At 42.3% G+C, this 12,514-nt stretch overlaps 2 long non-coding RNA genes across 2 annotated transcripts in view; one reads left to right on the top strand and one right to left on the bottom strand.

Moving 5' to 3' along the window:
• The window catches only part of DYNLRB2-AS1 (DYNLRB2 antisense RNA 1), a 407,178-nt gene that overhangs the window by 392,053 nt on the left and 2,611 nt on the right, over window positions 1–12,514 (top strand). Inside the window, exons 3-4 of the long non-coding RNA NR_120307.1 lie at window positions 10,777–10,851; window positions 11,628–11,746. This is a non-coding gene — a long non-coding RNA (DYNLRB2 antisense RNA 1). The remainder of the gene's footprint in view (window positions 1–10,776; window positions 10,852–11,627; window positions 11,747–12,514) is intronic.
• LOC105371357 (uncharacterized) overlaps window positions 2,596–12,514 on the bottom strand; it is a 117,137-nt gene continuing 107,218 nt past the window's right edge. The window contains exons 3-4 of the long non-coding RNA XR_933774.3: window positions 3,403–3,679; window positions 2,596–2,850 (exon numbers count right to left, since the gene is read on the bottom strand). This is a non-coding gene — a long non-coding RNA (uncharacterized LOC105371357). The remainder of the gene's footprint in view (window positions 2,851–3,402; window positions 3,680–12,514) is intronic.

Here is a 12,514-nt window from a genome sequence, read left to right as displayed (position 1 = left end):
TATTCTTTAAACTTCATCTCCCACTAACCTGTGTTACCCACACATATCACAGATGGAGGCAGCAAGAAAGAAAAGAAGGTCTGCAATAAAGAGAGATAGCAAGGGCTGCAGCCTCAGTCCTTCCTTTTTATTTCTTTTTAAATTTATTTTTAACTGTGAGTATCTATTAGCAGTATATATTTAAGAGCCCAGGTGATGCTATTTTTGGCATTGATACCAGTATCTTCTGGCCATTTCTGAGACCTAAGCTCAGACACTGTTTCTCATCCTCTTGGAGACACCCTGTTACTTCTGAGTGGAGCATTTTCTTATTTCTGAATCTTTTAAAAGCGTCATTATACCTTTATTAGCTCTACTTTCCCCCTTACTTCCCTCTACCCTCAGGCTGCACTTCAAGTGTTCCAGGGAGAGAGCCCCTTCTTTTACCATGGAAAAACTCTGGACAAAACCCATTCTTGCAGCACCTGAAATTGCAACGTCAACTTCAGCGTGAGATGAACGAGAATTCCTGCGAATCACACTGCTTATGAGTGGTAAACCTTGACTTTATTCATGCGATGCTGAAGCAAGCCACATGCTGCGATCTGTCCTGTAACTTTTTTCCTCCTCCAGAATATAATAAATTAAACATAGTATGAAATGCAAAAAGGTTACACTGAGACATACACTATTTGAAGGTTTAATTCATTTTTCTAGTTTATAAGACACAAGGCTATTAAATTTTTAAAGCAGTGATCTTCTAAACTCTCTACTTTATGAGGGCTTTCTTCATAAAGATAAATGGTTTCCTTGCCAAATCAAATGCAGATTTGAAACAAATTAAGTTAATGTTCAATGGTACAAGGTAGAATGGATGGGGGAGCTGTTTTATTTTGCATTGTAATAACCATATACACCTAAATCAATAGCTGTGGAAAAAAGGCAATAATATCACGTAACTGCAGGAAATGAAATATAGTGGTTGGGTCGGGGGGGGAACAGGCTGCAAAAAGAAAGGGTTTGTATTGGAATAATGACATTTCATTAAACAGGGAAGGAGTGGTATTGAAGAGAAGTCCATAGCAGTAAATTCTATTTCTTATAATAACACTTGAGACAAGTTAAAGTTGGCTGGGTATTGTGATAAAGGATAATGCCGCCGTCCTTTTGTGCATTGTGCTATAATTTTATGTTTAAAGAAAACCTGAGACATTAAAGAGGCAGCACGTGTTTTCTCAGTGTGTCCTTATTCTTCTAATCTTTTGCTTAATTTGGTACAAGATCTTATAATCTGTCTGAAAGCCATTACTTGGATAAGGAAGGCAGTCCTAGGTTTAAAAAAGTGCATTTGAGTGAAGGTCAATCGGCATTCGTATTCTTTTCAAATTTTTTTGTTGTTGTTGAAGGGGCAAGGCAGAAACAAAAGGATTTGCTATTAATGAAAGGGCTCTTTCAACAGTTATCAGAGAAAAAATAATTCCTGAGTTGATATTTTTCAATATATACGTATCTACCTATCTATATTCTACAGAATATCTACATAAGAGATGTTATAGGAAGCTGAACAGAGTGGCCTTCACAGGTGTAGGGGCCTGACTCAGGTTCCTCATTGTCTAAAAACCACTTTGATTAAACTTTCTTCTCAAGCTGCCTCTAAAAGTGGTTGCACAAGAAGAGAAGAGAATGATTCCAACATTCTCTTCCTCTAGGCACAGCCCCAAATGGGCACAACTTATTTGAAATCAGCCTTCAGGTTCTGAAAGCTGGAGGACATCTGTATGTTTCTCTCTCTCTGGACCTCTTTCTGTTCTCTTCGTTGGAAGGAACAGAAACACTTTTTCAACCTGGCACCTATGTGCCCCCCACCCCAACTTCCCAAAGATGGGCCTACAGGGGTGCTTGTAGGAAAAGCAAGATACTAGAGGGGCCACCTCCTCTAGGAAGCCTTCTTTGCCGTCTCCAGTTAGATGAACTGTTAGTCTCCATTTATAGTGCTGCTTGGAAGTGGGAAGACTGTACTATGCATTTTACTATATTATCCCAAATAGTGGGACATGTGGTGCCTGCAAAATGGGAAACAGATACCACAGAGGTGAAGCTTATGGGCTCTAGAAGACTAACCACTGAAGGACAAAATAGTGTCTGTGACCTTCAGTAGCTCTGCAATCTTGGGAAATTGGCTTAAACTCTGTTCCTTAGTCTTGTCATCTGTAAAATCGTACCTATCCCTCCGGGTTGTTGTAAGGCTTAGGTGAGAAAATGCATGGAAAGAATTAGCACAATGTCCAGCATGCAGAATATGTGACAGTTGTTATTGGCATTGGTATTGTTATCTTCATTATTAAGAACCCTATGAATCATGGTTCTCCCTCATTTATTTATTTATATTTATTTTTTGAGACAGAGTCTCGCTCTGTAGCCCAGGCTGGAGTGCAGTGGCGTGGTCTCGGCTCACTGCAACCTCTGCTTCCCAGGTCCCTGTTCAAGCAGTTTTCCTGCCTCAGCCTCCCAAGTAGCTGGCATTATAGGCACGTGCCACCATGCCCAACTAATTTTTGTATTATTAGTAGAGACAGAGTTTCACTATGTTGGCCAAGCTGGTCTGCAACTCCTGACCTTGTGATCTGCTCGCCTTGGCCTCCAAAAGTTCTGGAATTACAGGCGTAAGCCACCGCGCCCAGCCTCTCCCCCATTTATATTTGAGAAACTTGAAGCTCAGCAGAGCGAACAGCACATAGAAGGCACTCAACAAAACGTCCTTCCTTCTCTTTATCCCGTCCACTTTCTCCAGTGTGATCACAATGCTGTGGGGATACTTTTATGTGCAGAAGAGATCTCTCCCCCAGGTTGATGACTAAAAAGGGTTGCACTCTGGAATAGAAAAGGAGTGTCAGGTTTGTTTGTTTAATACATAAATCTGTAAATAATACCTCAGGTGTCTCCACCCGAGACAGGTGCCTCCATGCTTCTGGGCATCTCAGCCTCCCAAAGTAAGCCCATTTACGAAATGCTGTTTTAATGGCTAGGAAGCATTACACAAACTTTAATAAAAGAGCTCTGAGTAGACAACCGAGGATACAAAGTAAACAGCACATTTAATCACCCACTGAGCACACAGCTCCTGGGATGTAGTTGCATGGTTATTCTGATCCTATATAAGTCACTCCTTACTCTCCTGGTTCTCGAGGATCACTCAAAGCCTCCACCCATGAAAGGACTGGCAGGAGTCATGAGGATCCCAGAAGGGGCACACAATAGGCGTCACACATCAGAAAATGCAGAAGAGGCTGTTCAGCCCAGATCTTGGACTTGAGTCAGGCATGGGTGACTAGCTCGTAAATCAGGCTTAGCACAGGAAAGCCTTGGAGGGCTTGTGGTTTCCAGGCACCTGTCTGTATGCATGCCTCATCTATGGGAACATACCTGTCTTTGCCAATTCCGCAGTAGCATACATGTGGCTAGAGAGGGTGTAAGCATGGTGCATTGTCCCCAGGTACCACAGACCCTTGCTCTCCTGCTGGCTTGATTGGGAGAAAAAACTTTTTCATTTCATCTGTTTATGATGCAGCTGGGGACTGTACTAGGCACGGAGGATGCTCTTAACTCTCTTAGCCTCTATGCCTGCCGAAACTCTTGTCTTCTTAGCCGCCATGTGAATTTAAGTGGTTCAGCATGCGGACTCTCGTCCTCTGTCTGGTTCCTATCAAAAAGGATGGGAGAGTGTTATCTTTTTTGGCAGAATTTAAAACAATGTTCCTTATCTTTTTTCTTAAAAATTTTCCTAAAATTTTAATGAGATGAATATCATAATCATACAAAAATAGTTAAAATGACTTTATGCAAAACTAGCATCTATTCTCAAGTTTTCTGGGTAGTGGAAAAATCCAGGGCTTTGGGACCAAAGGACACTGAGTATGAATATTGATTCAGCAAATTATTAACCTCTCAGTGTGTTCATTAGTAAAATAGGCATTCAGAACATGATGTGAGGCTGTTGTGAGAATGACAAATAAATGATGGGAATGGTATGATCCACGTACGTTGTTCAATAAGATGTCCACGTCATCCTCATTGTGGTAGACCTCCTGGCTGATGTTGTTTCTGCTGTTTTTATTAAGAGGGGAGCTCCATCTATTACAATGATAGCTGTTCTTTGAGGAATTCATAGTCCCAGAAAATTTGCAGTTTAGCACTTCTCTTGAATCAGTAAAATTTCTTAAACATGTGCGGGACTCTGGTATGAACAGAGCCTGATAGTAGTCTCTGTGCTTGTCATGGAGGAGTTCATAATCTTAAATTAGACAACTAGAAATCATAATCGGTATGTCGACTAAAGAACAAGGCTGAACTCATACGACAGATTCTTATTTCCAAAGAAACAGTACAGTTCCCCTGGGATTTGGGTGGTTTGGCTGGGCACTCATACTTAAAGTAGAAATGAAACAGAGTTCATTTAATAGACTTAGTAGAAATAGAGATTTAGTTTCCCATGACTGCTGTAACAAATTACCACGAACTTTGTGGCTTAAAATGACACAAATTTATCTTTCAGTTCTAGAAGTCAGAAGCCCAAACTGGGTCTCACTGGGCTGAAATTAAAGGTGTCTGCAGGTCAGTGTTCCTTCTGGAGGCTCTAGAGGAGAATCCGCTTCCTTGCCTTGTCCATCATCTAGAGGCTACCTGCATTCCTTGGCTCATGGCTCTTCCCTCCATCTTCAAAGCCAGCATTGGTGCCTTTCCCACGCTCTATCCCTCTGACACTGACTCTCCTGTCTCTTTCATTCTTTCTTTATCATCACTTGTGATTGTCTTGGGATGACTCAGCTAATCCAGGTTAAGATCCTTAGTTCAATCACATCCACAAAGTCTTCGTCTTTGCTAGGGGAGGTAACACACTCACAGGTTCCAGGAATTAGGATGTATGCACTTTTGGGGGCCATTATTCTGCCTCCCCTCCCATGGGGCAGACAAGATCTCCCATGAGGGACCTTGAGTGGAGTTTTTCAGAAGTAGAGTGATCCACCAAAGGCTTCAGTAAGTGGAGGTTTCTGGGAAATTTTATAGGAAAGGTTGGAGAAATGTTTTCCATTTTGGCTTATTATTGCAGTTTTTATAAAAGGACATTTCTACTTTAGGTAGGAGATGATCACCATGATGCTAACTGCGTTTCATTGAACATCCTCAATGAGTCACTCATTTTGCACAGTGCCTGACCACATAAACTCACTTTATCTTAGTAGTAACCCAGCAAAGCATTATCTCCATCCTATTCATGGACCTGTAGCTATTATATTGTGCAGTTGAGATTTGAATCTGAGTCTGTCTGGCTTAGAAGTCCAGATTCTTTCCAATAGGGCACACAAGATCCTGGGAAAGGATTATTCACCTTTTCTCTGGACTGGGCTCCTGGTCAAAAAGTCTGTTTCCCAGCCAGATGTGGACAGATGCAAAACCAGGGGCAGGAATGCCTTTTTTGCTTGAGCATCAGCTTTGTGGGGAGGCCTGGGCTGGCAAGAGCTCAGAGACATGGGCTTTCTTCTCACTGCCCTTCAGGATGCAAGCCCATGATGAGGAAAGGATTTCCCCTCCAGCCCGACATCAAAAGGTTCCCGTCAGGGCTCCCAGGGCCAGGATGCTCTTAGCATGGGATATTAACCAAACACACTTCACCCCTGTGTTTGTCAGTGGTGCTTGTGTTTTTGATGCAGCCTCATTCTTTGGACTTAATTAAAACCCAGTTCCCTCTTTTATTCAATTTATGAGGCCTAGCCTGCAGGATTAAGTGATTACAGACAAAAAGCCCCATTTGTGAAACACTCCTAAACTCAAGCTGTTACGCTGCTTACTTGTACTCCATTAAATTAATAAGGAATGAATTGGCTGATCCATTATGAATAAAGCAGTGGGGAGTCTTTGCCCGGTTCATACTTTCCTCTCCCTCCTTGGAGAACATTTGTGTAAAATGATTAGGTTCATATTCATTCAATTGGAATTCTCTAAAAGTGGAATGCATAAATTACTCTAAAGACACAGAGTTTATCTTAAACATTAACTACGAAGGGTGAATTAATAAGACTATTATAAAACCATTAGCATTCAGTGTGTTTACCTACAACTGCAGCATACCTAAACTAAATTCAACCCACAATTGCCATTTGTGTTGGGAGATCAAGCTAGTTTATTTTAGCTCGTAGTTCATTTAAACTCATAACACACCCTTGAAGATTCAGTTTTTCTATTAGCTTTTATTTCAGGGTCTCTCTTAGTTGAAAATGTAACTTTTATTATTTCCTGATTCAGCCATGCACCTCTATCTGACAGTTATTACACCTAAATGTTTCCAAACATTGGTTGTTAACTCTAGAAGATAGGAATCAAGAACTCTAAGGACACGTGGTAAGCTCCAGAGAAGACAATTATTTAAGGACTATGGGGTCACAAACAATTGGAGAGAGGGAGTATTCAAAGATTTTTGGTTGACCAAATGCCCAGGCTGTTTAGAGAGTGTAATATGGCTTTGTACAAGTTAAATGTCAGTTTGATTCAGGGTATTCTAACCTATGCACTCTTGACACACTTTGGGCTAGATTGTTCTTTGTGGTGGGGGCTATCTCATGCATTATACAATGTTTAGCAGCATCCTTGGTTCCAGTCAACACATACTGGTTGCAATACCTCTCCCTCTCCCCTTCCCCAATTGTGACAACAAACATTTCCAAATATTGTCAAGTATCCTGTAGAGATGAGCAGGGGTTGTGATAGGGGGCAAAATAGCCCCCAGTTGAGAACCACTGCCTTAATCTGTTCCAAGAAGAGAGGGAGCATTTAATCTCTCTTCAGAACTTGGTTTTCTGTTTGTAAAATGAAGAAAGATGGTCTCTAAAGGATTCTTAAAACTCTCCAAATATGTGATGACCTAAACCTGCTCAATGACAGTTGCTTTTCTGTCCTTCATCTGGTGGGAATACAATAGCTTAAAAAGATGAATCATTCTGTTCTTTAAACTCAGTCTCCTCTCTTTGCCCCCATCCTCTCCCCTGGTAAGAAATCAGTTTCCTATTGTAGCACTGAGTGGTAAAATAGAAACCATCAGAAGAGGACGTCCATGTGCTTTCACTCTACCTTCCCTCCTGCATCTGCACCCACACACTCTGGCTTCCTCTGGTGAGTGACTTGGAACCAAGTCTGCCTGATTCTCAATTCCACATTGTTACCCAAATGAACTTAGGCCAGAGATGCCTTGCAACAAGGGTGGAATTGTTGCATCTTCCCTGCTAGAATTTCCAGCACACGTGTGTGTGTATGTGTGTGTGTGTGTGTGTGTGTTCTCACAGATGTCCACAACTTGTAAGTGATTCCTGCCTAGTGGTCCCACAGCCATCAGGAGAGAACTCAAATGCCTGAAAAAAATGCCTGAAAATCAAGCTATCTCAACTTTGGAATGGCAAGTTCTTTCACATTTGCAATAACAAAATCCACAATGCGAATACAGTAACATCTTAAAATTCCAATTCCCATACCCTAGGGGACTTCAGAATCAGGTAGCTATGGTTCCAAGTCCTACTAACAAGAAGAAGGTGGGGTACATGGGTGTGGGTGTAAATAGGAGGTCAATTTAAAGCCTGTGGGAATTCCCTTCTGGAGGCCTCTGTTTTCCTGCTTCTGACTAGATTGGAAATTTAATCTATTACCAGGGAATGCCGTCGTTATTCTGCGTACACAGGTTGAGATGAGGTAATGTGTCAAATGACAGGAATGTAGAGAGGGGTGAGAATAGGTATAAGCCCTGATTGCCTGAAACCCAAGCCCTTGACTGTCGACCTCAGCATACTGCTTTCTTATTATCTTCTAACTTCTAAAGTCATTGTAACCCATCAAAAACCCACTGTTCATTGTCAAAATGGAGCACTGGTTAATTAAATGAAATTTAAAATAATCCTTATACCTGTAATTCGGAGCTCTTGCACTGCTTTTTTTTCTTTTTACATTCTTTTATTCTTTATTTAATATTATTTTAAATAGCATAGGAACCACTTTACCATTGGCTGGTTTTTCTCTTTTCTAATTTCTTTCATTCTCCTCTTTAAGTCAACTGCTATCATGCCCTGCACATTATCAGAGTTTTAAGAAGAAGGGGGAAGGAAGCCAGGTAGATGATAATCAGCAGCATGGATCATTCACTGCTGCCTAATTGGTAAAATGTAGTAGTTGGCATCATTTGATATAGAATAATGTGTACATGTTAGCTGCGTGTCTGTGCAACAGGGGCTTTGCAATCAGAGAGGAGAGGGCCAGACTCAAGTGTAACATCTTTCTAGTTGTGTACACTTAGGCGAGTTACCAAAAATTAGTCTCAGCTTCCTCGTCTGTCTAAAAAATTTATAATCTGTGTCCGTCTGCGCCACAGTGAGGATAAAGTGAGACAATATTGTCATTAGAGCATTTACTAAGGTGGCTGCACAACCTTTCAGCATAAAGTAAAGTCAGGGAGAGTGTCTCCTCCTTGAGGCCCCTCAACTCCTTACCCTCAGCCTAGTGGGAAGGATTAACAAATTCTTTCTTGAAAGAACTTACATGTACATATGCAATTGGCAAAAGTCTGACTCTTTGGCCCAATTCCAAGCAAAACTAATCATCAGAAACTTCATGCAGATTTACGATTACTTTTTCTATAACAGGGTTAGGCCCGAGCTGCTGAGACAGAATTAAAAAGGGGCTGCTGCAAGCAGCGAGGGCTCAGGTCTCACAATGGAGCATTTTCCAACACGGCACCTTGTAGGGACACCCTGACTCCAGGTTGGCTGGAAATTAATGTCAAATGTGGAAACAGCCTTCTTCCTCTTCCCTAAGATTGTTGTGATGGGCTCTTACAAGTGAGCTATGGGCTTTCATGTAATGCCAATAAAGAGATGCACATAGGACCTTTTCCATATAGTATGTTTAATTTGAGACATAATTTAATTTTATGATGGCTGATTTATCTCAATTAAGTCAAATGTGTGCACAGAGGTGTTTCTCATTGTGGGTGAAGTGGAAACTGCATTGAGCTCCGAGCCTGCGTTCCAGACCGCACCTTGCCACATACTCACTGTGTGATGTGCGATGAGCCATCTGCTTTCTCTGCAGGCCTGTCTACCTTTTCTGAAATGCTTGGCGAGGGTCAGAATGGAGGATGTCAACTGCGGGCAGCCTACAGAAATAGTTTGCTGTACACTGGGTAGACACCTGTTAAGAAATGCTAAATGCATTACCAGTATTCAAACACTGGTAGAGTTGACATTAAAAATGTGGGGTTTTGATGTCCTCTCTTAGAAAACTGAGGGATCTGGCAACAAGACATCTGCACTCCAAAATGGGAGCAGCTGGACAGAACTGACAGGCAGTTGCTGAATTTTGCTTGGTCATGTACTGGCTTTCAGTTTGCTGCTGTCCCCACCACTCCCTATTGTGATATCTGGCCCTCTGTCATTCATTCACATCTTTTCTGGTTCCTGCGTTATAGTTTCTAACCCCTGTATTGCAAACACCCTTCTACAATAACTTAGGATTTTGAGGATCTGTATAATCTGGAATTACCTGTGTGAAAATACTCTTGCTGTTTAAACATTTAAGGGAGGAGAAAATCTATTGTTTCTATGAACAAACTTAAGATGCCTTTGATTCCATGTATTCAAGGACTGTCTTTTATGAGGCTGCTGTGTGAAGGTTGCTTGCTGGCTTTCACTGGAGAGGGGCAATGATGCACTTAATGGTGGACATGAACATGGGAGAAGAGGAAACAGAAAATAAACAAGCAAAGAGACAAATGAGTGTTAATGAATTAAAATCTGAGACAATTCCAAAGTGACAAAAGAACACAGATGTATGAAAAAGAGTCCTTTAGGAGGAGGAAGTTAATGTGGCCTGAGGGTTTTGTTTGTTTTGAGAGGGAGTTTTGCTCTTGTCTCCCAGGCTGGAGTGCAATGGTGCGATCTGGGCTCACTGCAACCTCCACCTCCCAGGTTCCAGTGATTCTCCTGCCTCAGCCTCCCAAGTAGCTGGGATTACAGGCACGTGCCACCACACCCAGCTAATTTTGGTATTTTTAGTAGAGATGGGGTTTCACCATGTTGGCCAGGCTGGTCTCAAACTCATGACCTCAGGTGATCCACCTTCTTTGCCCTCCCAAAGGGCTGGGATTTTAGGCAGGGTTGTTATTTAAGCTGAGAACTGGAGATATGGAAGCCAGGCAAAGGTCAGTGTGACTGGTTATCTGGGGGTGAGAAAAAAAGGCTGCAGAGGGGAAGCTGGCCAGGTGGGCAATGGCTTGATCTGCAGAGATTTGGATGATACTGCTGAGAGTCCAGGTTGATTTTCAAAACTTTGGGAAAAAAAAAATAGATGGCACCATTAATAAATAGATGCCTACTTTTATATTCATCAGGGAATCTCTGCTCCGGGAACTCACAGATACTTAAACTGATAGGAGAAAGACCCCCTGCCTGCCTCCCTTCTTCTTTTCCAACGTTCTGACCTTTCTCCTGTGCCTTCCTGGCCCTTTGCATGGCTCCTTTCCCCATATTGTGAGTGCCCCAGTGGCTTGATGTCACTGAGAACATCATATGCAGATGGAGGGTTCTTTTCTTGGAGAGATTGTGATTCAGTCATTCAAGATGATTCAATCATTCAAGAAAAGAAAACTTGCACTTGCTGAAAATGTTCTAGAAGCCAGCTGCTGTGCCATAGGAGTAAAAAACTTTTATTAAAATATTTTACATGTATATATGTATATAAATTTCACAGGACATAATTCTACAGGTCGAGGAGTTTCGCAGACATAACTCCTTGGGAGCAGTGCCCAGGTCAAGAAAGAAAATGTGGCCAATGCCCCAGGTACATCCTCTCACCATCTTCCACCCTCACTCTCACCCCTACCAAGGAAACCACTGACCCCAGTTCTTTTTAGACAGAGTCTTACTCTGTCACCCAGGCTGGATGAACTCAGCTCACTGCCACCTCCACTTCCTGGGTTCAAGTGATTCTCCTGCCTCAGCCTCCTGAGTAGCTAGGATTACAGGCACGTGCCACCATGCCCAGCTAATTTTTGTATTTTTTCACCATGTTGGCCAGGCTGGTCTCAAACTCCCGACCTCCAGGGATCCACCCATCTCAGCCTCCCAAGGTGCTGGGATTATAGGCGTGAGCCACTGTGTCCAGCCCACTAACCCCAATTCTAACCCCATATATTAGTTTTTGCCTGTGTTTTAATTTTATGTAATTGGAATCATACAGTACATACTGGCTTCTTTTGATGAACATTATATAGGCGAGATCCACTTATATTGTTGCTGGTAGTTGTACTTTGTTCATTGTTTTTGCTCTAAAGTATTCCATCATGTGAATATAGCATAGCGTATCATATTCACTATAGGTAAACATTTGGGTTAGTTCCATCTGGAGTTGTTATGGATAGTGCTGCAATGGACATTCTTTGCATGTCTCTTCATACACACATGTGCATGCACATGCACACGCATGTGCATTTCTGTTATACACCCGTGCATCACGTTCTGCTTTAACTGGTCCTGCCAAACAGTTTTCTATCCTTATACCTTTTACCTACATTTATCTCATGAGTTCTCTTATCACCCCACTTTTTGTTGAGACAGGATCTTATTTGGTCATCCAGGCTGGACTGCAGTGGTGTGATCATAGCTCACTGCAGCCTCAAACTGCTGGACTCCAGTGATCTTCCAGCCTCAGCCTCCCCCGGTAGCAAGGACTACAGGTATGTACCACCATGCACGCCCACCCCCCAACCGCTAACTTAAAAAAAATTTGTAGAGATGGGGTCTTGCCACATTGCCCAGCCTGGCCTCAAGCAATCCTCCAACCCTGGGAATATAGGTGTGAACCACCATATCCTGCCTCATCCACTTTTAACATATGCAAAATAAATAAAGGCACAGAAAGATATAGTCAGTACCTCAACGTCACAGAGCCAGCCGGCAGCAGAGCCAGAGCACAAACTTGAATTTATCTGGCTCTGTTTCCCATGTTCCCTCCACCGCATAGTGAGCCACAGATGATTCATGAGCTGTGTGGCTGCTGCCTTTCCAAGGCACCACTCAGATGCCACCTTTTCCCTCAACTTTTTCCTGACCCAGCCAGGAAGAGGTAACTGCACATGCTGTCTGCTCCCCAGACACTTTCTGGGTGAGTCAACTTGGGGAAGTTATGTTTATTTGTCAGTACAATAGGATATGAAACTAGAGACCTCAAGGTTAGGTGTGAAGATTAAATGCACTTACTTACTATAAGTAAGTGCAGCATTTACACGGGATCTGATACATAGCATAGGCTCTCAACTGAAGAGATGGATGGATGGGTCGATAAATGGGGCATAGATATTTCCACAGAACAATGATTCAACACATTTGGGGTATATGCATGTGTATATATGTATGCTTGTGCCTGATACATGTACATTTATATCTACAGCTACTCCCATATATTATCTTGTACTTGACGGAGCCCAAATAACCTTTCTCTTTTT

The sequence above is a fragment of the Homo sapiens genome, chromosome 16, assembly GCF_000001405.40.
Source record: "Homo sapiens chromosome 16, GRCh38.p14 Primary Assembly".
NCBI lineage: Eukaryota > Metazoa > Chordata > Mammalia > Primates > Hominidae > Homo > Homo sapiens.
This window is presented reverse-complemented; position numbering and strand designations above follow the sequence as displayed.